We start from the raw sequence: 26,834 nt of genomic DNA on the forward strand, positions 1-26,834 counted from the left end.
GTCTGGATCCTGATTTTGAGTGTTCATTTCCCAAAAAATCTTAGGAAGATAAACACTTTCTTGGTAACCTTTGAGTGTCATGTTCCTTCTCTGAAGAGTGTATTAGATTCCATGTGGTATACCCAGTAGATTGCATTTTGAGTGTCATTGATGATTAATGGATAGAGACTGCTTAGACCACTGTATGGAGAAGGATTCTGAAGTCATGTCTGGGTGCAGTGGGAGAGTGTCATGATACATTGATTATTACTTTTCATAACCGATTTACCTAAACCAAATAATACTAGTTTTTAAATTCCTGGATGTGATACACAATTTCCTTTAAAAATAAATTTAATTAGAAGAAATGAATGGTTTTTTTTAAATAAGGAAAACTAGAGTTTTTCAGGGGGAATGTGGCTATGGTGGAAACTTTGAACATAGTATGAGAAAGAATGAAATTCTGGCCGGGCGCGGTGGCTCACACCTGTAATCTCAGCACTTTGGGAGGCCAGGGCAGGCGGATCACGAGGTCAGGAGATAGAGACCATCCTGGCCAACATGGTGAAACCCTGTCTCTACTAAAAATACAAAAATTAGCTGGGCCTGGTGGTTTGTGCCTGTAGTCCCAGCTACTCAGGAGGCTGAGGCAGGAGAATCGCTTGAACCTGGGAGGTAGAGGTTGTAGTGAGGTCAGATCATGCCACTGCACTCCAGCCTGGCGACACAGTGAGACTCCGTCTCAAAAAACAAACAAAAATGAAAAAAGCACAAAGAATGAAATTCTGGAAACACTAAGGAGATGAATGTTTACCTACCTGACAGAATTGTTTTGGGAGTTTTAATGCAGGTGGCAGCTTGCTGTGACTTCTAAAGGCAGTACAGAAGTATCACAGTGTGGTTAAACTTCTTTTTTTGACCAGGAGGTAAACCTGAACTCAAAGTCTCCCAAAGCCCTCTCTGAACAAGAAAATAGAATAGTGGTCCAGAGTTTGGATACTGAGGCTGGACTGTCTGGGTTTGAGCCCCCTCTCGCCTCTGTTCACATAGTTAGCGAGTGATATATGCATTTAACTTCCCTGAGCCTCAGTTTCTCATTTGTTAAAGGCAGTACCTCATGGTGTTGGTATCAGGATTAAAAGACCATTTCAGAGGAAGCTTCTAGAACAGCACGTGGTTCAGTATAACACGGCGTCTACGGGTTGACAATGATAATGATGATTGGATATTAAAAAAACCTGACTGGATGCGTTGGCTCACGCCTGTAATCCCAGCACTTTGGGAGACTAAGGTGGGCTGATACCTGAGGTCGGGAGTTCGAGACCAGCCTGGCCAACATGTTGAAACCCCATCTCTACTAAAAACAGAAAAATTAGCTGGGCGTGGTGGTGCACACCTTGTAATCCCAGCTACTCAGGAGGCTGAGGCATGAGAATCGCTTGAACCTGGGAGGCGGAGGTTGCAGTGAGCCCGGATTGTGCCACTTGCACTCCAGCCTGGGCCATAGAGTGAGACTCCATCTCAAAAAACAAAACCTTACACAATTTAATACATTAAACAGGTTTGGACACTTTTTCCCCCCCTAATTAAAAATTTTTTTTTTTTCTTTAAGAGACAAGAGTCTTGCTCAGTTGTCCAGGCTGAGTGCAGTGGCATGCTCCTAGCCTACTGCAGCCTCAAACTCCTGGGCTCAAGCAATCCTTTCGCCTCAGCCTCCCGAGTAGCTAGGACTACAAGTGCATGCCACTAGCCCAGGCTCCCCTCACTTAAAAAAAATGGGTGCTTGGCCTTACAAATTGCTGAGATTACTCTGTCATCTTACTATTTTTATAAAAGTTTCCTTTTTTTTTTTTAAATTTTTAAGAGAGAAGTGATTTCTGAGTGAAGGAATAGCAAACCTTGACTGTGGTGAATATCTTATTTCTCCTTTAGTGTCTATATGCCCGTTTTTATGCTGCGTATATCTTATTTATCTGGCTTCCTAGGCAGTTTAGAATATGTAAAGCATTTATGCCACTGAATGTTTTTTAGAATTATAGCATCTTTAGTGAATGACTGTACCTACGCTGAGCCATTTTATCATGCTATAAATACCAAAAAACACTAGAAATTAAAGAACAAGTTTATTTCATTTTTGTATATAAATTCTATTCCTTTTATTTTTAACTTGGATAAAGAGCTTTGTTTGTTTGTTTCTTAATCACTTCTCTTTTCTTTGTAGTGAGTAAAGAGGAGATATCAATTTGTGTGTAGATATTAGCATTCTTATATAACAGACTCAGCCCTAGACACATAAAACACCAGCACCTACTAGCTGGTGTTGAAATGTGTGGCAAAGAGAATAATGATTTTGATTTACAAATACTTACCTGTCAAGAAACACCACCACCACCCAATCCCTTACTGTTTCTTTTCAGAAATTAATAATTTAAATTTTAATAAGCACCAGGCTTAATGCCTCATCAAGTATTTTTTTTCTTTATTATTTATACATGTTGGTGTAGCTAGCGTGTTGACTAGCACTGGTTAGCACACTAACAAATAGAAACCAACACTATACTCACCTTCTAGGTTCTAGGTTTATAGTTAATTAACCCAAGTTCTCCTGAAGACCAGATTTCTTCTTGTCTTGGAAGGGGTTAGAAGGTAATAGTCATTTGAACATATGTCCACAAAATCTTTTTTCAGAAACTGAGGTTTAATTGTCCTCCTATTGACTATGAGCTAGACTTCATGTCTCCTGATGAACATAATAAGGTTGAAGTGATAGTGACTTTAGAGACAATATCTCTAAAGAGACTTTCTGTCTTGGATAACTTTGAGGAAAGCCACCTGCCATGTTGTGAGGACACTCAAGCAGCCCTGTGGAGGGGCCTGTGTTGTGAGGAATGGAGGCCTCCCACTGATAGCCATATAAGTAAGCCTGGAAGTGGATCCTCTATCCCAGATTAAATATTCAGCTGACTGCAGTGCAGCCAACACTTGACTGTAACCTCATGAGAGAACCTGAGCCAGAAGCAAGCCAACTAAACTGCTCTTACATCCATGCCCCACAGAGCCTATGAGATGATAAATGTTTGTTGTTAGAAGCCATTACGTTGTGGGATAATTTGTTACACAGTAATAGATCACTAATGCACAATAATGGTGGGGGTCAGATACACAGGAACAAACTGAATCCATAAGAAGATGATGGTCCTTGGCATGCCCTTGGAATGGGGTCCAATGATGTTGCAGAACTAGGTAAGGCCTTTCTAGGGGCAGAAAAGGGAATGTTTTGGGGTTAGATTTGGTACTTAGCATCAACAAGGAAGATCTGTTCCAGTAGCATTTTAAAAAGGCCTCTCAACTAAGACTTATTGATGGTGATGGTGCATATGTCTGTCGGTCTGCGGAAATGCAGGTGAGCAAGGGAATGCAGAACAGATGCAGAGTATACACATAGGCGTCTGATGCAGGTTCAAGTCGAGTAGCTTCCGATATGACTGTTTTCTTTAGTTTTCACAACCATTGAAAAGAGCAGGCCAGGTATGGTGGCTCACACCTGTAATCTCAGCACTTTGGAAGGCTGAAGTGGGTGGATCACTTGAGCACAGGAATTTGAGACAAGCCTGGGCAACATGGCGAAACTGTCTCTACCAAAAATACAAGAATCAGCTAGTCTCATAACCCGGTCTCAAAATAAATAAAAAATAAAATTAAAAATAAAAGAGCAATGTCGTTGGCATCCCATTCATGTTTGGGAATGGAATCTGACTTTGCCACTTGGAAGATTGTAATCTCCATGAAGGTAGGGACATGTCTGTATTATTTACTCCCAAATGCCTGGTGTCACAGAACGTGGAAGGTTCTCAGTAGGTATTTGTTGAAATAATAAATGAATATCATTGTATAATTTTGAGCAGATGATACAATCTTTTTAAGCCTCAATATCCTGCTCTGTACAGTGGGGATAAATAACCCCTAACTTGCAATGTTATTGTAAGGCTTGGAGATAGTGTATTCAAAGCAGTAGTCCCCAGCCTTTTTGGCATCAGGGACCAGTTTTGTGGAAGACAATTTTTCCATGGACCGGGGGTTGGGGGGATGGTTTTGGGATGAGTCAAGTGCATTACATTTATTATGCGCTATATTTCTATTATTACTATATTGCAATATATAATGAAATAATTATACAGTTCACCAAACTGTAGAATCAGTGGGAGCCCTGAGCTTGCTTTCCTGCAACTAAGCAGTCCCATCTGAGGGTAATGGGAGACAGTGACAGATCATCAGGCATTAGAGCCTCATAAGGAGCGGGCAACCTAGATCCCTCACGTGCACAGCCCATAATAGAATTTTTGCTCCTATGAGAATCTAATGCTACCACTGATCTGACAGGCGGCAGAGCTCAGGCAGTAATGCTCTCTTGCCCTCCACTCACCTCCTGTTGTGCAGCTCGGTTCCTGACAGGGCACGGACTGGCTGTGGTCTGTGTCCTGGGGGTTGGGGACCCCTGATTTAAAGCACTTACACAGTAGGCAGGCATGTATTTCTCAGAATCCTCAGAATCCATTCTTGTTATGATGGTCAGAGAACGAATGTGAAGTTTTGATCATGTACTTTCTGTTTTGGCAGAATTAGCCTTGGTAATTCAGTTCCTTAAGTTGTGAGTGATGAATTCAAGAAGTGAACTGTTGGATTTTGTTCCACATCTGGATTGTATTAAGTGGATTATTGCCAAGTTCCCACTCTACATGCTCCTTGTAGTCAAGCTAGTGTCACGCCCCTCGCATTTTTAAGAAGGTAACATTACAGTTGTGAGTCATAGTTACCCAGCAGGAAGCCACATTCCTGGGACTCAACTGATGGGGTGGCTGAGCCCAGAGCTCTTGGTCTGATGGGCCATCACTCCTTGTCTTATAATCCTCAGTCCAAGAGCATGACAGAATTATTTCTTTCTGTCACTAAGATTGTTGCAGTAAAGTAACCTAGTATAAATCTGGATATTCTGTAAAAACAATTCACTTCTACCTTTGTGCTGTAAATAATTATGAGCATTACTTTTGGCATTTAAAAATGCATTGTAAAGGCCTGGCGTGGTTCACACATGTAATCCCAGCACTTTGGGAAGCCAAGGCTGGTAGGTCACTTTGAGCCCAAGAGTTCCAGACCAGCCCAGGCAACATGGTGAAAACCCCACCTCTACAGAAGATACAAAAATTAGTCAGGTGTGGTTGTACACGCCTGTAATCCCAGCTACTAGGGAGGCTGGGGTGGGAGGCTCCCTTGAGCCTGGGAGGCGGAGGTTGCGGTGAGCCGAGATCGCGCCATTGCACTCCAGCCTGGGCGACAGAGCCAGATCCTGTTTCAAAATAAATAAATAAATAAAAATAAAAAAAATAAAAAAGCATTTAGGAAGATATTGAGTAGTAGGAAGTTTTTGTCTGAAGGGTTATGTGAAATTTAAGGAACTGGACATCCCCTGTTTTGGTTCAGAATTTTTCTTGGAACCACTAGCAGGTGGAGTTTTCTGATAAATCTTACTGTCTCTATCAGTGTCACCCCTGTTTGAATAGGAACCCTCACAAGAGGATCCATGTTTATGTCAGATTTTATTCTGTCCCATTTTGTGTAGCTGGGCTGTGATTCAAGGTGAAATTCTTAGGAAAGGAAATCTTGTGTAGTAGGTAGGGGCTAATCTTCACCACACAAGCTCCTGCCTTTCTGCCATTCAGAAGTAGAGACCTAGAAGAGATAAGAAATGGGGAGCTAAGAAATACATTGCTGGCCTTCTGCAGTACTCGCCTATCAGTATTTTCACTGTCTCTTCCTGGAAGTATCGTTTTAAATCTATTGCACAAAGTCAGACAAATAGGTTTATTTGAGTCAATGATTTTTTTATAGCGATATGGCAATGTTTTATGGAGGCTCAGAGTTATCTTGCAAGTCTGGGCCAAGTTGTAACTTGAAAGAAAACCCAAAGCTAAGATGGTGAATTGTAAATAAATACACACACACACACACACACACACACACACACACAGGCACAAATATATTGAAGACTTTGTTTTTCTAGGCTGGGTTCTGGTAAAAGGGTTCATGCTTGTAATTCCTGCACTTTGGGAGGCTGAGGCGGGAAGATCATTAGATTGCTGGAGTTTAGGCCAGGCTAGGCAACCTAGTGAGACCTTATCTGTATTAAAAAAAGAAAAGAAAATTAACTGGGTGTGGTGGCATGCACCTGTAGTCCCAACTACAGAGGATGCTGAGGTGGGAGGATCGCTTGAGCCCAGGAGTTTGAGGTTGCAGTGAACTATGGTCATGCTACTGTACTCCAGTCTGGGCAACAGAATGATACCCCATTTCTTAAAGGAAAAGATTTTGTTTTTCTAAAAATGAATTATGGATATGAAACTCTTTTAGTTGGAATTTTATGTATGAATTTGAGAGGTCCAGAAAATGAAATAAAATTAGACTTATATTGGAAAGGATTAGAATTCTAGCTCTTAACGCCTTTTTACTTTTTTTTTTTTTTTGGCCAAGTAAAATGGCTAATTATACTGGGAACTGGAAACAGGTGGCTGTGTATCTTAGTAAATAAAGAACGATGTTAACCTCTCCAGAATGCTGGTGACTATTGAGTTTGGCCAGAAAATCCTATAAAGGAGAAAGAGTTGCAGAGTGTAATAAACTCCCAGATGCTCGATAAAAACCTCTGTTCCTCTTATGCCGGCTGGTGAAGATCAAGGGCGCCGCAGCAGAGCTGCTGAAGGCTCCTTACTGGTGTGAAGGTGATGAGATTTCTCTTCTGTTATCTGTCTGAATTACTTCTGGGCTTGACAGAGATGGGAACTCTCATTTGATAGCAGTTCACAGACTTTGGATATCTTATTTCCCTTAAGTTAAACTTACCAGTCTTCATTTGCCAAATAATTTCCCCTTCTGGGAAGGGTGTGTGGCAAATCTGACAAGCTTGTGTTCAGTTCTCTGCTGTTACTATGAGGCTAGGGGACTTGGAGCAGGCAGCCTAGCCTCTCTGTGCCATCTTTTCTTGCATCTAGCAATGGAAGAAAGGAAAACCAGCCTTTGTAGGGTTGTGATGAAAGTGAAATGAGATGATAAACACCAGGTACCTGGCAGGTGGTTTTACTGTCGCTGGTTTTCTCAAAACCTAAGGCAGAGTTGCTGAAACTCAGCACTATTGACATTTTGGGCTGGATAATTATTTGTTATTATCCAAAGGTTATTACCCAGCATCTGGGAGGACCATCCTGTTCATCGTAGGGTGTTTAGTAACATCTATCCTAGATGCCAGTAGCACACTCATCCTCTTTGTAATACCAGAGATGTCTCAAGAGTAATTTGTTTCTGACCACTGACAGAAGCCTACTTAAGAAAAGCTGACAGCTGATGTCAGGTGTTTTCTTTGTTCAAAAATGGTGTAGAACAGTACTTGGAGTGAATGGGTGACTTCAATTTAGTAATTGTTTTTACATTTAGTAAAGAAATTATGTAATGGTAGTGTCTCCTCTCCCTTACCCCCCCAATTCATTTGAATTAATAATTTAAAAAGTACTTTTAAAACTTAGACCCAGCCATCTGTTCCTTCCTGTTGCCTTACAGCAGCAGTAATTGCTTTAGGATGGGCTTGGAAACAAGAGCGGAAATGGTCTCCAGTGACCCCAAATCATAACAGAACTCGAATCCTAAGAAAAACCACAAGTGGCTTATGAATAAGCTGAAAACTTAAATGCCTCCTCAACAATTTAAATTTGGATTGCATAGCTTATGGATTTGGTGGGACATTCTAACCTCGATGTATCTTTAACATTTTCTGCTTTTAAGATGCAAAGGCGTTAACATAGGGATGGAGAGAAAACTTCCTTCTAAGTTTTCCTAGAAAGTCTGGCACCTTTGACATAGCTATAACAGAAAGAAAAATATATATATGTATTTGATACTGGTTCTAGATAATGCCATTAATTAGATTTAAAATGATGCTTATAGCAAGCATATGTACAACGTAATATGTTCCAGCTACGACTCTAAGCACTTTTCCCATTTTAATTCACTTGCTTCTCAGAACAGTTCTATGAGGGAGGCTCTATTAGGCCTGACTCATGCTCGGCATTTTGTACACGAGGAAACTAAAGCAAGGCAAAGTCGACTGCCCAGAATTACCGGCTAATAAATGTCAGTCTTGCCTGGTGCTGCACACCTGCAGTCCCAGGTACTTAGGAGGCTGAGGTGGGAGGATCTCTTGAGCCCAGGAGTTTGAATCTAACTGGGAAACATAGTGAGACTTTGTCTCTTTAAACAAAATTTTTTTAATTAAAAAAAAAAAAAAAGTCAGTCTGGCTACTAGTCTTTTAAGTCCATTCTGCTGATTCTAAGACTTGATCCACAAGACCAGGGATTGGCAAACCATGGCCCATGGGCAAACATCTGGCCTACTGCCTATTTTTTTGTAAATAAAGTTTTATTGGTCAAGGTGTAGGGGTGGGAAAAAAGTTTTATTGGAATAGAGCCCCTGCTATTTGTTGACTTATTGTCTATGGCTGTTTTCTTGCTACAACAGTAGAAATGAGTGTTTGCAACAGAGACCATATGGCTTGCCAAGCCTAAAATATTTACTGTCTGGCTGTTAGCAGAGTGAGTCTGCCTACCCATACAGAAGACCATTCTCATCCATATGTATAGTCCAGAAAGGTAGGAACAAATTTTTAAAAATCTTAATTCCATATACTTTCAAATAAGATTGAGTTAAAACTCATACATTGAAGGTCCAAGTATTTGGTGCCATTCTCCAGTGTTATGATGAATGTGAAATCATTTACAGGACACCCCTCTATCAGGCATTTGGGGGAAGAGAAAGGAACAGATAAACATGTGAAAAATGGGAGAGTGTGTGAACTCTCTATAGTACTCTAGAAAGCCCGGCTTTAACTCTGCAAAATTTGAAAATAGCAATCTTAAACTTTCTGTTTTTCTCGCTGCTTTTCTGCAACAGCTTCAGAATAGAAACTGACAGGCCCATTTTAGTAGAAAGCAAACGGCAGTGTGTGGGTGGCGCCTTATAACACAGCAACTCAAGGTTAGGTGGGGGGAGACCAAGAATTGAGTTTCTTTTGTTAAATCAGAAATTATGCAAATTTTACAAAAAGTATTAGAGGAAATGTGTAAGGCTTTAATTGGTTTTATGGGTTTGTCGCTTTTTTTTAAAAAAGGTTACTTTGTGAACATTACCCTCTGCTGAACATGTAGACACTTCCTGAAGTTTAATGAGATCTCAGAGTAGAATCACAACAAATGTGACTCTCAGATATTTTCAAGAGATGGTATTATCTTGGGCTGAAAGTATGTTACACTAAGGCTGTCATTTCTTAGGAGGATTTACTCTACCACACAAGCTCCTCTATCTGAAATTATGATGAGCCCCAACATAGAGCTTTTTGCTTATACTAAATTCAGAGAATACTTAGTATTTGCTAAATCAGTGGTGGCCTACTTTTTAAAGCTCATTTATTACACTGAACTTTAGATAATATAGAAATGCTTTCTAATTACAGTTTTGTCCCCTGGTAAAACTAACACTGTGCATTGCGTTTGTATTATTGACATTACCTTCTAGGGCCTTGAGTGAAGGATGCTGAGCTGCGCTGCTCTCTAGGATTGGTTATTTTAAACTTTGATTTTTGCTTGAGAGTGGACTAAGGTAGTGTAGTTAAATAAAAAGTATGAGCAGAAGTGTTTGTTTCAGGCAAGATTTTTTCAGGGCCTCATTTCCAGTGGGGTTGATGGATGATTTTTGTGGCTTAGAGCTTGAGACATTATGAGTTGTTCACCGAGACCCAGAATCAGGTCAGAGGACTGACTCCAAATACTGTAATGTGCTTGGATGCTGGTACCGGTATCAAGAGGCTCAGAGGAACATTGGATGTGTCTGTCCCTAGTAATGACAGCACAGTCACAGCTGGTCTGTGGCTTAACAGTGTCTGCAGGGGCATCCATTCCCATCCCTCTTACTCCTTCTTACTTCTCTTCCTAGACTTTACTGTCTCTGTTAATTACAGTTCCATTTCAGATAGAGAGTTAATTGATTTAAGTTTATGACTGGACCCCCGTGCCTGCAGTGTATTGTTGAATGAATGGATGTTTTGATTTTTTCTTCTCCTTTGAAGCAAGGAATTTACTGCTTGGAACTATGCTGCACAGGTTTTTCTTAACGTTCTGTAGGATACACATTACTTTTTCTACTATGTGTCTTTTATTGCTGCAAAAGTCAGTTGTACTTGAGACAGTTTGGCACTGAGAGGGGAATGTGGCATATCTTGGCACTGTGGACAGCTGGTTGGGTGTTGATGTGGTGACAGGGAGGAGGGAAGGGCTCACAGACCAGACACGTGCTGCCTTTGAATGCAGGTGGTGATCAGTGTGCTTAGTCATGTAGGGCTGCTCTTCGTGGAAGAGGTAGCTTGGTAGGGTGGTTGAGTTTCAGTACTGGAGTCGGCAGAACTAGACTTCTGTCCCCACCCTGGCTCACTAGCTGTTTGACATTGGACACCTTGATTCAATCCCTTTGAACATTAGTCTCCTTGTCTCTTTGATGGGGATAAATATCTGCTTCACACATAGCCCTGTGGGAAGATGTGAAAAGCCCAACTCTGGGTGTGTTAGGGGCAGATAAATGCTGAGTGTTAGCTTTCCTTTAGCCGAATCTGAACTGATTGAATTGCATTGGGACTCAGTTTGTAGTCAGTGACTTATGTTCAAAAACTTGGGAAGACCCAGGAGGGGGTTGACTTATCCCGAAAAATCAGGTTCTTTTTGAAAATGTGTTAATTCTTTCAGGCCAGCAAGGTGTCATCTAAGAATGTCTGCCAGTAACTAGTTCCCAGGGAGTCTTAAAGATGTCACTGTAGCTTTCAGACATACCTGAGTTACTCTTAAGAGCACCTTGCCTTGTAGGAATCCATTTTGTGATATTTGTTTAAATTATGTCACAGCGCATTGCAGACTTGTAATCTGTTTTCAAAATGGTATTGTCTGCGCCCTTATTGATCAGCGCGACATCTTTTACTTGCTTATCTCTGCTTTCCATATGGTCATACTCCAAAGCTAGACCTAGAGCAGACCCACTAACTCATTAACCTCTCTGACACGAAATAGAAACCTTCTAGAAGGGGACCAGCTATGGGAGGCAGAGTTCTTAAAATCTCTCGCAGTCCCCCGGCATTTTCCTGAGCCTCCGGTTGTAGGTATTAGACTGGGCGCGAGTTTTCACAACACGGGGAATTTGTCATGGTTGAGTCTGCTGTCGTTTGAAATACTGCTTAGTTCTTTAAGATATAATTAAGTAGAATCGCAGAAAAGAGACCTTCGTTGGCATTTTTTGTTTGTGTTGTGACTATCGAAATCCCTGCTCTCCGGAGGCTTGCCCTGACTTGGGGTGGGGAGTGTGACGTAGAGACACTGCGAAGCCGGAGCGATCAGGTTAGGTGAGGCCATGCTTAAGTTGGATTCGTTGAAAATATGATTCAATTTGAGAACATGGTAGTGCCCATTTCCAAGCTGTCACAGAGTCCAGGAGATGGGGAATAAAAAATCTTCGGCATCTCTCGGGGAAGATTATTTTGTTTGAGGTCTTAGGACTTCTCCTGATACTGTATGAACTTTCTTTTTTTTTTTTTTTTTTTAATTGATCATTCTTGGGTGTTTCTCGCAGAGGGGGATTTGGCAGGGTCACAGGACAATAGTGGAGGGAAGGTCAGCAGATAAACAAGTGAACAAAGGTCTCTGGTTTTCCTAGGCAGAGGACCCTGCGGCCTTCTGCAGTGTTTGTGTCCCTGGGTACTTGAGACTAGGGAGTGGTGATGACTCGTAAGGAGCATGCTGCCTTCAAGCATCTGTTTAACAAAGCACATCTTGCACCGCCCTTAATCCATTCAACCCTGAGTGGATATAGCACATGTTTCAGAGAGCACAGGGTTGGGGGTAAGGTCACAGATCAACAGGATCCCAAGGCAGAAGAATTTTTCTTAGTACAGAACAAAATGAAAAGTCTCCCATGTCTACCTCTTTCTACACAGACACGGCAACCATCCGATTTCTCAATCTTTTCCCCACCTTTCCCCCCTTTCTATTCCACAAAACCGCCATTGTCATCATGGCCCGTTCTCAATGAGCTGTTGGGTACACCTCGCAGACGGGGTGGTGGCCGGGCAGAGGGGCTCCTCACTTCCCAGTAGGGGCGGCCGGGCAGAGGCGCCCCTCACCTCCTGGACGGGGCGGCTGGCCGGGCGGGGGGCTGACCCCCCCACCTCCCTCCCGGATGGGGCGGCTGGCCGGGCAGAGGGGCTCCTCACTTCCCAGTAGGGGCGGCCGGGCAGAGGCGCCCCTCACCTCCCGGACTGGGCGGCTGGATGGGCGGGGGGGGCTGATCCCCCCACCTCCCTCCCGGACGAGGTGGCTGCTGGGCGGAGATGCTCCTCACTTCCCAGACGGGGTGGCTGCTGGGCGGAGGGGCTCCTCACTTCTCAGACGGGGCGGTTGCCAGGCAGAGGGTCTCCTCACTTCTCAGACGGGGCGGCTGGGCAGAGACGCTCCTCACATCCCGGACGGGGCAGCAGGGCAGAGGTGCTCCCCACATCTCAGACGATGGGCGGCCGGGCAGAGATGCTCCTCACTTCCCAGATGTGATGGCGGCCGGGAAGAGGCGCTCCTCACTTCCTAGATGGGATGGCGGCCGGGCAGAGACGCTCCTCACTTTCCAGACTGGGCAGCCAGGCAGAGGGGCTCCTCACATCCCAGACGATGGGCGGCCAGGCGGAGACGCTCCTCACTTCCCAGACGGGGTGGCGGCCGGGCAGAGGCTGCAATCTCGGCACTTTGGGAGGCCAAGGCAGGCTGCTGGGAGGTGGAGGTTGTAGCGAGCCGAGATCACGCCACTGCACTCCAGCCTGGGCACCATTGAGCACTGAGTGAATGAGACTCCGTCTGCAATCCCGGCACCTCGGGAGGCCGAGGCTGGCGGATCACTCGCGGTTAGGAGCTGGAGACCAGCCCGGCCAACACAGCGAAACCCCGTCTCCACCAAAAAAATAAGAAAACCAGTCAGGCATGGCGGCGCCGCCTGCAATTGCAGGCACTCGGCAGGCTGAGGCAGGAGAATCAGGCAGGGAGGTTGCAGTGAGCCGAGATGGCAGCAGTACCGTCCAGCTTCGGCTCGGCATCAGAGGGAGACCGTGGAAAGAGAGGGAGAGGGAGACTGTGGGGAGAGGGAGAGGGAGAGGGAGAGGGAGAAGAGGGAGAGGGAGAGAGGGAGAGAGAGGGAGAGAGGGGGAGAGAGAGGGAGAGAGAGAGGGAGAGGGAGAGGGCTCTTAAGGGTCCATCATGTTTTGGAGTCTAAAAGTTGGGACCCGGTGTGGGGGCACAACACCTGCAATCCTAGCACCTTGGGAGGCCAAGGCAGGAGGATTCTTGATTGGCCCAGGAGTTTGAGACCAGCCTGTGTGACATGGTGAGACTGTCTCTGCAAAATATAAAAAATTAGCTGGGTGTGGTGGTGCGTGCCCGTAGTCCTAGCTACTCGGAGAGACTGAGGTGGAGTGTATCACTCGAGCCTGGGAAGTCGAGGCTGTAGTAAGTGGCGATCGTGGCACCTGCACTCCAGCCTAGGCAACAGAGCGATACTCTGTCTCAAAATAAAATGGAAGAAAAAAGATAAAACAAATAAATAACAAGCTATAAGTTGTCCCTGCATGTAAAACAAAAATTGTTCCTGCATGTGAATCACAGTCTTTGCGCTTTCTGGAAAGTAATAGAAATTTCTGTGGATGAGCCACTTGGCAAAGGTTATTTCTAAAACTCTGTGTTAGAGATTTTTGGTAAATAACAAAGAGCCTGAATGGTCCCATGGGATAAAACACCAGCTCAAGACTTTACAAAGTGGGGCTCTCATTGAGGTAGTTCTCAGTCTGCAAAATGAAGATGATACACCTTAGATGGTATATATTTCAATGCTATTATTATTGAGAGCCAGTTTGGCATTAGGCATCACACTGAGTACAAATTTATTTCTACATGTTCTTCTTTTAAAATATGGAATTCTTTTATTATTGTTTGTACTAGTTTATTATTACTGTTTGTATAAATCTATGCAAGTACAAGTGCAATTGTGTTACATGCATAGATTATGGAGTGATCAACTTGGGACTTTTAGGGTATCCACCACCCGAGTAATGTACCTTATACCCAGTAAGTAATTTCTTATCATCTAACCCCCTTTCTGACTATTGAACTCTGAGCAACACTTGACTGGATTGGGAGGATTGGAGTAAGAAGAATGTACATTCCTTATGTTAAGATGTGGTAGGAAATAGAAACTTGGCTTTGTCCATAAAAACGTGTGAGTTCATGTCCTTTTCAGGAACATGGATGAAGCTGGAAACCCTCATTCTCAGCAAACTCAGGAACAGAAAACCAAACACTGCTTGTTGTCATAAGTGGGAGTTGAACAAAGAGAAAACATGGACACATGGAGGGGAACATCACACACTGGCGTCTTTGTGGGGTGGGTGGGGTAGGGGAGGGATAGCATTAGGAGAAATACCTAACGTAGATGACGGGTTGATGGGTGCAGCAAACCACCATGGCACGTGTATACCTATGTAACAAACCTGCACGTTCTGCACATGTATCCCAGAACAAGTATAATAATAATAAAAAAAAAAAAGAAACATGGCTTTGCATGAGAAAAGCCTATTGAATGTCTCAGAGATGGACATGTTAATGTTGCCTTGAGTAGAAAGATCTGGATACTGATCTCCAGCTCCCCGCTCTTTCAGTTTTGGATTCTACTGTTACCTAATGTGTTTAAAGCCATATTGGTTAGCAGGGAGTAGTGATCCCAGCTACTCAGGAGGCTGAGGTGGGAGGATTGCTTGAACCCAGGAGGTGGAGGCTGCAGTCAGCTGAGATCGCCCCACTGCCCTCCAGCCTGGGCGATAGAGTGAGACTCCATCTCAAAAAAAAAAAAAAAAAAAAAAAAGCCATATTAGTACTCTATAAATACTCCATTAAAAAAAGGTGGGAGGTAGGAGACGATTCCCCAGTTGTCCAAAAAATTCGATTGATGTGCTGCTGACTTCTGTTTGGTTTAGCAGATGTTTGTTGAGCAGCTGTTTGTTGAATTGGTTGAAAATGAATTAAAAATAATTTTATCTTGACCTTTCTCTTTGTAACTTTAACATCACCTCATGAGGTAGCTGGAAAAGTCCTGGAATGTCTTTCAAACTCTGGGTGGGAATTACTGTTTACAAGTTGTCAGCCAGTGTCACTAGGTGATAATTCCCCTCTGTGTGAGTGTCATGGTTACAGTATGCTTTTTTGCCTCTAAAAGAACAATTATATTCAAGAAATTTCCTAGTGCATTTAAAAACAGCTGGGTGAAAGTCATTTTAAATCCCCAAATCCAACACATTCGTTCTTTTGTGCATTTAATTAAGCAGAAGTTAAAATAAATTAGAACAGGAGACATTCAGTGCTGATTGTTGAATCAACAAAGCAAGAAACAGCCTAGCATTACCCTACCACAGATGTCTGTCACTCAGTGCTGTTGCCCTATAAATTTCCATCAACTCTTACCATTTTTTGAATAACAATTTCTTTTCTAGTAAAAATTGGCATATGATGTATAGCAAGCAATATTCTTTATGCAAATGATATTTCCATATATCTCTAATTTTTTCCCCTTAATGATACATTTATGTTGGTGGCTTGGATAACTTTTCCGGAGGATGGAGGATGTGAGATGGGTTAGGCTAGAATGGTAAGGTTTAGGAAAATATAGAAAAATAAGATTTAGCAGTAAATTTGGGTATTATTAGTGGAAGTCATGGTTGAGGTTGTTTCATTTATGATACTAAATTATTTTAAGGACATGTTAAGTTTAATTTGTCTTTATAATGCAAGTAATATATGGTTCATGATAGAAAAAGTTGATTAAAACATATCAGCCAGAAACTGAGTCCCGTATTTTTCTCACCCACAGGTATCACTGTTAGCATTTCTAGGTAAACAGTCTTTTTTCCCCCTATTATGTATGTACTTTTGGCTATCTTTTAATAACAGGATTATGCTTCCTAGGCAGTTGTATGTCTTTTTTCTGCCATTTAGTAGAATATCATAATTGATATGGTATTTGATGTTGGCTTCTAAATAACCAAGGGGAGAGGTGAGGCCTATGGCTAATGTTTCAGCTGAAACAAGGTTAGCCCTAAGTTGAGGATAGTTTTTGCAGATGAGTAATGAGGGTTTATTATACTGTTGCTTTTGCATACATTTTGAATTATCTTTCCTAAATTTTTTTAAAGTGTTCAGTAAGCCATAAACATCTCCCCAGATCTACACATTCACACCAATGCCATTCTTAAGAGGCATGTGTCATTCCGTGGTAGCATGGATCATATTAATAATTGAACCAGTATCCTATTGTTAGATACGTCTGTTCTCAGTTTTTTCGACCATTCTTGGAAATAGAGGAAAATTTGTCCAGTCATTTATTTAAGAAGGCATTTGTAAGTTAAATTTTTATTTATTTTTCACTACCCAAGAAGGAATCTGGAGTTACAGTAACAGAAGATACTGGCTAGTATTTCGCCTTAGTTAACAAAACAATCATGAAAAATCTTTGTTTAGAAAGTTACTAAAGTCTAGGCGGGCACAGTGGCTCACGCCTGTAATCCCAGCACTTTGGGAGGCTGAGGTGGGCAGATCACGAGGTCAGGAGATCGAGACCATCCTGGCTAACACGGTGAAACCCCGTCTCTACTAAAAATACAAAATATTAGCTGGGTGTGGTGGCGGGCACGTGAAATCCCAGCTACTCGGGAGGCTGAGGCAGGAGAATGGCGTGAACCTGGGAGGCAGAGCTTGCAGTGAGCTGAGATTGCACCACTGCACTCCAGCCTGGGCGACAGAGCCAGACTCCATCTCAAAAAAAAAAAAAAAAAAGAAAATTACTAAAGTCTGTGAAATTAGTACATTTTCTGAATACTTCACTGTAATTCCAGTGAATATTTTACTTTCACACACACACAAACACACACACAATTTAGTGTATCAAGTAATTTTTATTGCCCGATGTCTTGGCGCCTTGATATATTTTAACGTGTTGCGGTTGCATGTGACTCTTCCAAAGACATCTATCGGGAAATGGATAGTTAATGCATGGTGTGTATCTCTCTGTTGTTTATTTACCATAAGTTACTAATTCCCATTTCTCAGCTGAGAGCTATTATAGGCCTTCCTCTCATCAGGGATAGTTGGAGCCAGATAGGATAGAGATTGGGTAACTGTTGGAATGTGGACCACCAATTTCTTTTATTGGCTTCCATAGCTAGTTAGATGGAGACTCCTGACCTGAGTGAGGAGTATTATCTGTCCTGTGAGCCTCCAGTTAGCCTGGGTAAAAACAATACATTAAGAATCACTACCTCTTCTTAGCCAAGCATGGTGGCTCAGGCCTGTAATCCCAGCACTTTGGGAGGCTGAGGCGGGTGGATCACAAGGTTAGGAGTTTGAGACCAACCTGGCCAATATGGTGAAACCCCATCTCTACTAAAAATATAAAAATTAGCTGGGCATGGTGGCGGGCGCCTGTAGTCCCAGCTACTCGAGAGGCTGAGGCAGGAGAATCGCTTGAACCCAGGAGGCAGAGGTTGCAGTGAGCCCAGATCGCACCACTGCACTCCAGCGTGGGTGACAGAGCGAGACTCCGTCTCAAAAAAAAAAAAAAAAAAAAGAATCACTACCTCTTCTTATGTATGTTTAGTGTGGGACAGGTGCTGTGTTATACCTGGCACCTACCTTAAACAACTGAATCTTTATGAAGGCCATCAGAGGCAGTCTCTCTTATTCTTCCCACTTTACATGTGAGGAAACGAGGCCTAGACAGTGAGAGAAACTAACTTGTTCAGTTAAAGTTGCACAGCTAGATATAGATTTTTTGGACATGTTAATTAACCCTTTCAGTGGCTTGGATCACGATCCCAATAAATCAGTGATGAATTTTTGGTAGATGTATATTTACTTATTAATTATAATGTGTGCATATAAAAGCCATAGATCTAGGCCTGTGATTAAAACCTGCCCATTGCTTATGTGTCTAAAAGTTCCTTTTCTCTCTGTGCTGCAATAGCTAAATTTTGCCGATTTTCTATTTTCTGTTCTTACTTTGATTTGGAACAAACCAAGCTTCAAATGCACAGGGTCCCAGAGTGGTAGAGTGGCTTGCTTATTTGATATATTTTTTAAGCTAGTGATTTCTGGAAATCGGCAGCCCCTCTTGATGTGGCACACCTAGACCATAAGTCAGTTATAAAGAGTCCTTAGGAGTGTTGGGCCGTGGATGGGAGGGGAAGGGAAGTGACTGGTACAGTTTCAAAAGGTAGCTTGTGTACACCCCTTCCTCATGAATTAAAATTTATGAAAGCTGTTTGGGAAATTCGATACCCAGAGGTGCAGACACCACATTTGGTAACACAACATGCTGTGTGCAGAACTGGGGCAGAGTCCTGATGTTGGGCAGATGAGGATGTTTTATCATCATTAGACAAACAGTGCCGTGAATGAGGGGCTGTGGCTGGGATCATCCAGCTCAGCTCGTGCTGTTTCCAGTCTCATAAGCAAACCAAAGGCATGCGTGTGGCTGCCCTCCCGCAATCCAAAGGAAGATGGAAGATGAATGGAAAATGACTGTCGTTCTAAAAGACACTTGAAAACTAACAGCTGGGAAAACTGTTCTGAATACTTGAAGGGGTAGCCCGACGGGTTTAAAAAAATGAAGGAAGCGATAGATATTCATGTGTTGTCCAGGGAAGAAATAGTCAACATGTGTTTTACAATGTCTGGCGTAGTTGTCTAGTCTTTACAAGTAGAGGTGTCTGAATACACAGCAGGGGAGTCAAGAATTCGGAGGAGTCGGGTGGGGCTGGAATTGACGGGAACAACCTGATGGTATCTCCCCACATTCCCTTCTTATTTGGAAAGAAGTGCAGTCCATTGTAGCTGTACCCTCTGTCTTTGCATCTTTGATTTCTCCAGCTCGGAGCATCCCCAGACAAGATGGCCTCATCCCTGGTAAAAAGTTCCCTGGCCGAGAGATCAACGTGAATTTCCCATCCTGGCTTCCAGGCGTCTCCGCTTGGCATCTCACATTTCTAGAAAAACAGCACCCAACCTACTTCCCAGACGTGTCATAATCATGTCCCATTTTGATACTTATTATACAAATAACCCCAAACACGTGTACTCTTTCTATTGGTTGTTTGTCTAAAACTTTATTTTTGTTCTCCAAAAGTAAATGCCCATTGTAATACCCAATAGTCTCTTTGAATTTGCATCCCCCATACCTAAGTTTTGGGAGGCCTCCCAATGCTCACCCCTCATTAGTATCTCTGTATTATGTGCAATTTTTTTTTCCTTGAAAGCATTTCTGCAATAATGGCTTTTTTTCCCCCCGTTAAGTGACGACAGTCATCCTAAGTTAAGTTTATTTGACTAGGAGAGGGAAGAATATTCACAAAGGGCACTGGTCTCACGTGATTGAGAGACTGGTAGAAACATGGCAAGATTGGGCCACAGTCAAATCAGAGTCTGGAAAGCTTGCTGCCTCAGGGATGGCTGTACATACAAACTCCCAAATGATACATTAATTGATTTTGATTATATGACTCCAAAGCTTGAGCATTTCAAACTGTTTTCAAACTAATGGCCATCGCATTTGGCAAGGAGCCCAACTGCGCATTGGGTTCATTATAAAAGGAGATCTTGACAGCCTGTCAGGAGGACAGAATGCATGCTAGGGTTTTGAGAAGTTGCTCAGTTTCAGAGGACTTGGTGGTGTTTTTCATTAAAAGGTACCAGAAATTTAGCAGCCCGACCAAGAGCCAGGCTTATAAGTCACGGAATGACCCTGGTCAGTACATGCAGAACCTTAACAGTATGATCTTAAGATATCTCATTAGATTCCAGTGAATAAGGCCAGGTACCGTGGCTCACGTCTGTAATCCCAGCACTTTGGGAGGTCAAAGCTGGTGGATCACTTGAGTCCAGGAGTTTGAGAACAGCCACCACAGTGGAACCCTGTCTCTACTAAGAATACAAAAAATTAGCTGGGTGTGGTGGTGCACGCCTGTAATCCCAGCTACTCAGGAAGCTGAGGCACGAGAATTACTTGAACCCGGGAGGTAGAAGTTGCAGTGAGCTGAGATCATGCCGTTGCACTGCAGCCTGGGCGACGAGCGAAACTCTGTCTCAAAAAACCAAAAAAACAGAAAAGCAAAAAAACCCCACAATCCAGTGAGTAAGACCTCAGCCGGCCTGAGGTTCACAGGGTTTAAATGGAATGCAGTGGGAAGTAAAGAGTGATCCCAAGGAGAAGTAAAAATCTTGACACCTTACTCTCTTCGGCTTGTCCCACTTTTCTTCAACTGCCCCGCTACTGGAACATTTTCTCTTTCTCAATTTCGATTGTCCCCTTAAGCAATTTACTAATTAGACATTAAAACTTCCTATTCTCTCAATCCCAAAGCAAAACTGATGAGCAGAGCAAACCAGAGCAGTTGGGCCAGAACAGAACAAAGACGTACCTGATGCAGGGAATTGAAGCCAGACCCAAAACGGGCAACCCAATAGGATGGCCATCTGCCCCATTAATGCCAGCTTGTCCAAGTGTAATTATTAACAGTGCCCCCTTTCACTCTCCAAAGAGTCCCTGTCCAGACAGTTAATTGTGAAGTCGCCTTCAGATGGCTGGCGGTAAGGAAAGTAGAGTGAGGGAAGCAGGGTAGGTGGAGGTGTGAAAGGGAGAGGGCCTCATCTCAGGGTGGCTGGACCTGCACCAGCATCGGCCTGCATGAATGTGCTCCTACTCTTGCCCAGGCTGAGTATCAAGAGAAGCAAGAAATCTAGATAAAAATCCAAATCCAGAAACATCAGCGTTTTGAGGTTAACATGTTGGCAATTATTCAGCTTTATGAAAAAAAAAAAAAAAAACACAAAAAAACAGCATGGGAGCCTGGCAAAATATGTGGGTGACCCTTGGCTACTTTTGAATGAAGTTTTTCATTCTGTCCTTCAAAAAAAAAAATCATACAAAAAAAATAGGAGATCAAGGGGGAAAAAAAAAAGAGGGCATGGAAAAACCAGCCTCTGGTATAGGCTTTCAGGGTATATTGGTGAGCAAACTTTTCCTAGAGCTGTTTCTGGTTATCAGGTGTGGTACAGGTTGCAGGGAGGTGGGGATGGGGATGACTAGGGTCACAGCAGGCAATAACTAGGGTTATTGGCACCCGGTTGGTGTTTGGTGCCTGCTGTGTAACTTGCTGGGTGTTGGGAACCTGTATATGGCATATGCCATGTGCACAGTGGGATGTGTTTAAAATGTGGGAGACAGGAGCTGTATGGAAATCATTATTTTCAAATGCGGTCATGGCTTTTAGGTTGTGAATTTTTGTTCCTTTCCAAAACCGGTTTAGATGAGCAGCTTTGCTTTTTAGTGAGATTGAGTTAATCTTATATCTTTATGTTCTAAAAAAAAAAAAAAAAAAAAAAAGAAGAAGAAAGTAACAATGTCCAAACTTCCCTGGAGCCATTTCTGTCTCTGTGAAATAGGCAATTTAAGGTCCATCCCATCCTAAAAGCTTTTAGCTTGTGAAAAGCTTCTTTTCTTGCTTTTAAAACCTTCACTCTGCGTTTAGAATAAATGGCATTCCTGGATCTGTTAAATAGGCAGTTAATAATGCCACAGAAACTACCCACCACACACCCAACCACAAAACTTGCTCAGAGGCAGGATGTGTATTGGAATATTCTGTAATGATCCAATGCTGAAACATTACAATCAGCCTTGACCCTGCAATCTGCATTTTTAATTGCAGCCTTCATTTACAGTGGGGTATTGGTCTGCTTTCAGTTTGTCCTGAAGGTTGACTGGATCTCGTAATCTATTCATGTCAGACTGCCTGCTAGGACCAGCATGAATTCAGCTCTTCAGAGGAAGCATTGTCATACAGAGAGGACTCGGCCGTTTGTTTCACCTTGATATATTTCCCAATATATGCTTCATTCTCTGGGGTAGTTTTTATTCCTCTTCTATGAAATGTGGATTATAAGGACTCATGCCCCATGGAATTTCTATAGGGTTTAGATGAGATAATACATGTAAAGTATTTGATATGGGCATGTAGGAAGCACCAAATAAACAGTAGCCATTATGATTTTTCTTGCTCTGGATTTAACTTTTTTAAGCTCCTGAATTTTGGATTAGTAATGTTGTTGACCATGGAGGAAAATTGAAAAAAGATGTTGGCTTCATTTTCTTGATGACTGAAAAGTAAACTAGTGGCCGGGCGCAGTGGCTCACTCCTGTAATCCCAGCACTTTGGGAGACTGAAGCTGGTGGATCACTTAAGGTCAAGAGATCGAGACCAGCCTGGCCAACATAGTGAAAACTTTTCGCTACTAAAAATACAAAAATTAGCCAGGCGTGGGGTGCACACCTGTAATCCCAACTATATGGGAGGCTGAGGCAGGAGAATCACTTGAACCTGGGAGGCAGAGGTTGCAGTGAGCCGAGATTGTGTGACTGCACTTGGGCCTGGGCCACAGAGCAAGACTCCTGTCTCAAAAAAAAAAAAAAAAAAGTGAACTGGTAATGAGAAATGAATTTTGGAAATAATGGTGAACTGCAAACATGGACTATAAGTTAGACCATATTATATCAATGTTAAATTCTCTGAATTTGATAATTCTACTATGATTATATACGAGAATGTCTTTGTCTTAAGAAATTCACTCGAGTATTTGGGGTCCAAGGGGCATGATATCTTCAAGCTATTCTCAAATGGTTGAGGAATAAATATGTGCATAGAGACTTATATAGCAGATGCTGTTAAATGTTGACAGTAATGGGTATGGGTGATGGGGACATAGGCATTTGTTGTAAAGTTAAACATAAAAAAGTTTTTAATAAAGTGGGCCAGTGAGGAAAAAGGTAGCTGGTAACTTCATTCTGTGTTTTTTCACTAGGTCAGAACTACTGGTTCATTTATCATTTCTGTCCAAAGGTGGATTTTTTCCAATTAGTTTATCTATCCTGTTCTTCTTTCCCACCCCTCAATTCTTGATTCCTGGGGATGGTTATTTGAAAAGAACTTCCTTGCCCAGCTTTCAGTGACCCTGCTGTTTTGTTTCCAACTCCCAGTCATAATCCTTTGTTCATGACATTATAATCATCACCACAAGTGGCTAATTGTGATGTCACAAATGGAGGATTATGACTCAAATGAGGAATAAACAGCAGTGGCGGATTAATTCCTAAGCAACGAAGAAGATTCTGTTTTGTGCAAATGCCCCAGGGTAATAAAATTTAAAACCAGAAAAAGGCAAGGGGAAGACAAAGCTGAACATATGTGATCTATTAGCTAAATTGTCCTTAAGTGGAAAGCTTTTCTTTCTCTCTTTCTTCCTTCCTTAATTTTCCACGTGGTATGAATAGCTCCTCTATGGTAGATAAATCGATTTGGTTTTAGGCCTAACAAAGCTCAAGGTGTCTTGCTGACTAATTACAGGGATGTCACACCTGGGCTGAAAAGTGAGTCATTATGGAATCTTTGAGGTGTTTTTATTTTCCATAAAGTTGAATTGCTCTTTTCAGTCAGCATTGCAAAAGTCAGGCTATAAAGATCAGCACAATGGCCGAAGACAGCTGGGCTGATAATTGACGGCAGTCCCAACCTGGAAACTCTGGGTAAGGCCAGCAGAGCCGAATGGCGTCAGTCACTCAGGACAGTTTTCTGAATGGGTGATATGTAAATGAGGCAGTGGTAACAGCTGTTGCTGTGGATTGGCCTAGAAATAGTAGTCAATTCTCTGTGGAGGGTCAATTTTCGATTCTAAGTCAAGGATGTGTTTTTTTCCCTTTTAGGAAATAGGTGGTTCCCATACTATTCAGTTAACCAAGCAGCCAAATCCCTCTCTACACTTAACAGCTCCCTCATCCTTGGGGTTACTTGGCCGTCTCAGGAACACTCTTGAGTTTGTGGCCTTTTCTAAAACCATGGTTGCAGTAGCCAAACTAAACTGGAAATCCCTTTGAATTGTTTTCCTTTTCATGGGACATAGTGTTCCTTTCTTCCGTTTGATATATTTCGTTCTCTGTCGTGCTTGAGCTCTCTCTCGACTTATGACTTCACCGTCACTTGAATATTGGAAGCCTTCTTGAAAAACATTGGTGAAAGACTTGAGGCTACAGTTTGGCATCAGCAGCAGAGCAAATAAAACCACACTTTAAAAACTTGGTAAATTTAGTTATGAAGGAGACCTCCCATTCGAGTCTAGGCGTTTAATAATAGCCTGTATGCACAAAGTAGAAATTATGTGATTATCGTCTTGGGGCTGTGATTAGAATGTGTTGCTATATATTGGTAACATTTAGAAATGTGTAACTTCATCCCAGCTCCATGGTACCGTAGGGCAAGCATGACATAAACATGGTCTTGCAGTTGTACACTGGTTTGAGATTCCCTGGAGACTAAACAGCTATGAGGGAGTCATGCTTCCGTTTGCCACTGTTGTCTCCTTTGTCTCGTATAGGCTATCAGAGATGTTTCCTGGACTTTTAAGAGTAGCTCCAACAGAAGTTTTGCCTTCTGAGTAGTAAGGTGGTCACAACTTGTCCTGTTTCCCCTATGGGAGTGTATATGCTGGTGGTGATGGTGGGGGATCTCACCTTTGTTTCCACATCAGTATGCTGCTGCCAGCTCCCCTCCAGGCTGTGCTGTCGGGACACATCTGTGTGCCTGTATGTGGCTCATTAGGGAGCGGGTTGCCTGTTCTTTTGAGGTGAGCATACATTTTGATTTTTCTTTTGGCATCTTTTGGTTTGGAACATTTACAGCCCTTTTTAAAAATATAGTCATTTCTGTGTGGGTTTTCTCTGAGCCAGTATTTGCCACACTCCAGTGATATTGAGAGAAACAAAGGGAACACGTCCAAGCCCAGAGGGGCTCTGTCTTAACATCTGACAGGAGCTTCTAAGCCCAGTGTGGTTGTTACTGTGGGAAGTCGGGAAGTCCATTACCCAAGGCTGTGGGAAACACAGGTCATAAAAGCGGGGGCCTCTGATCCTGGGGCATTTACAGCTTAGTTTGGGAGCCAAAACTGGACCATGTGAAACAGCTTAGAACAATTGCAGAACCAAGAATTAGCAAATGTGGATTAATGTAGATTAAAACTTGCCTGTGAGATTCCAAGGTACTTGGAAATCTGAGTTTTACAGTTGACTGGGAAAGGCTTCCTGGAGTAGTTGAGTTTGGGAACCAGGTTTTAAATGAACCAATATGGGGTGGTGAAGATGATCGTGATATCTGTCACCAGAGACACCTCTGTGTGAATCCCTTCCCTGCCATTGACTGACCTTGGGACAAATTATTTAACCCAAGTCTAGTCTCCTGGAGATGAGCCTTTGTTTCTCTCTCCCCATCTCCCTCCCTCTCTCTGTTACTCCTCCTCCCGCTCTCCTTCTTTCTTTTCCCGCTCCTCCGCCTCTCTCATTCTCTTTCTTAAGTACAAGACTGCCTACCTCCCTCATCTGGTGGTTATGAGGATTAAACGAGATAGTACATTTAAAAAATTGGGCAATGTGCTTGCACTTACTATGTTGAGAATTTGGAATTATCAGTGGAGGCAGGAAGAGTTCAAGACAAGGAAACTGGCCTGTGCAAACAGGCGCACTGATGGAGAAGGAAGACATCAAATGCCTTATCGTGGAGGGCAAGTTAGTTTGGTTAGAAAGGAAGTCTGACCAGGGAGGAGAAGAGGGTTGGTTAAAATTAAGAGTGTCCTTGATGGTCCCAATAGGGATCTGACTACCTCAGGGATGCAGATACTGAGTTAGCAGTGCAAGGAATTCATTGGGGGTTAGTGCCTGTAGCAGAAGTAAAGGGAAGAAGCAGGATTGGACAGGGAGAATCTCAGAATGTGCTGCAGATCTGCCATAGTGGACAGAAACAGGCAGACCCCAGTAGTACCCCTGACTCCTTGCAGCCCTTGGCTGGGGAAGAGCTTTGCCTTGACACAAAAGCTGCTTGGAACCTGAAGGTTCTTTGCAGCTGAGTAGCAAGTTCTTTGCTGAAGGGAGCTCCAAGTTGTACCCCTGCTAGGGCTAGCTAGAGATACCTCCACTATCTGTGTTGGGGTCCCTATTCTGTCTTACTTCTGTCACATGTAGTTTATTTCCTACACAGCATTTTATCATCAACTATAATAAAAAGGTAATGAAAATGTATCCTGTTAGTCTCTGCCCCTAGAGTGTGGCCTTTGTCAGTGTAATTGACTGCTGGCACATTGAGGAGCACAGGAGAGGGCATTTCCTGGCAACCTGGCATATAATGGTGTCAGATTTCTTATTGCCGTGTTCTCTTTTGAGCTTGGAAAGATTAGTTACCGCTTGTTGGGGTATGAGTGGGAGCGCCGTGCTTCTGAACATTTGCAAAGCATCTGCCAGGACCCTGCACCGTGAGGAGCACTTGGTGCTCGTTACCTCATTCCCGTGGTCTTGCGTGGGGAGGGACTTGTTTACATTTGTTTTAGTACCGAGATGCATGCATGTCCACTTGATGGGTAAGGAAACTGAGTGTTAGAGAACTTAAATATTAAGGTTCTCTAGGACCACTTACCTCAGGAGTGGCAGAGATGGGACCTCAGCTCTTTCTGCCCACTAAGCCTGTCAACTTAATGGCTCTGCTGTCATGTGACAGATAGAGCTGGAGCTAGGGAATGAATGCAAAGAGAATTTGGCCCATACTAGC

General features: G+C 43.0%; 1 protein-coding gene and 1 long non-coding RNA gene across 7 annotated transcripts in view, besides 3 other annotated features; both read left to right on the forward strand.

Moving 5' to 3' along the window:
- The window catches only part of PTPRG (protein tyrosine phosphatase receptor type G), a 736,039-nt gene that overhangs the window by 97,930 nt on the left and 611,275 nt on the right, over positions 1 to 26,834 (forward strand). The window lies entirely within an intron of this gene.
- LOC124906245 (uncharacterized) overlaps positions 1 to 26,834 on the forward strand; it is a 32,384-nt gene continuing 5,550 nt past the window's right edge. Inside the window, exon 1 of the long non-coding RNA XR_007095942.1 lies at positions 1 to 26,834. This exon is cut by the window's right edge and continues 3,350 nt beyond it. This is a non-coding gene — a long non-coding RNA (uncharacterized LOC124906245).
- Positions 12,393 to 13,230: an enhancer, noted in NCBI's record as "H3K27ac hESC enhancer chr3:61657567-61658404 (GRCh37/hg19 assembly coordinates)". NCBI's record gives its function as "activates a minimal SCP1, AML or CMV promoter by ChIP-STARR-seq in primed H9 embryonic stem cells {active_cell/tissue: H9 hESC(primed)}" and the evidence as "EXISTENCE:reporter gene assay evidence [ECO:0000049][PMID:30033119]".
- Positions 20,727 to 21,226: an enhancer, noted in NCBI's record as "H3K4me1 hESC enhancer chr3:61665901-61666400 (GRCh37/hg19 assembly coordinates)". NCBI's record gives its function as "activates a minimal SCP1, AML or CMV promoter by ChIP-STARR-seq in primed H9 embryonic stem cells {active_cell/tissue: H9 hESC(primed)}" and the evidence as "EXISTENCE:reporter gene assay evidence [ECO:0000049][PMID:30033119]".
- Positions 26,368 to 26,834: part of an enhancer, noted in NCBI's record as "H3K4me1 hESC enhancer chr3:61671542-61672277 (GRCh37/hg19 assembly coordinates)", that runs on past the window's edge. NCBI's record gives its function as "activates a minimal SCP1, AML or CMV promoter by ChIP-STARR-seq in primed H9 embryonic stem cells {active_cell/tissue: H9 hESC(primed)}" and the evidence as "EXISTENCE:reporter gene assay evidence [ECO:0000049][PMID:30033119]".

This window comes from Homo sapiens, chromosome 3 (genome assembly GCF_000001405.40).
Source record: "Homo sapiens chromosome 3, GRCh38.p14 Primary Assembly".
Lineage (NCBI taxonomy): Eukaryota > Metazoa > Chordata > Mammalia > Primates > Hominidae > Homo > Homo sapiens.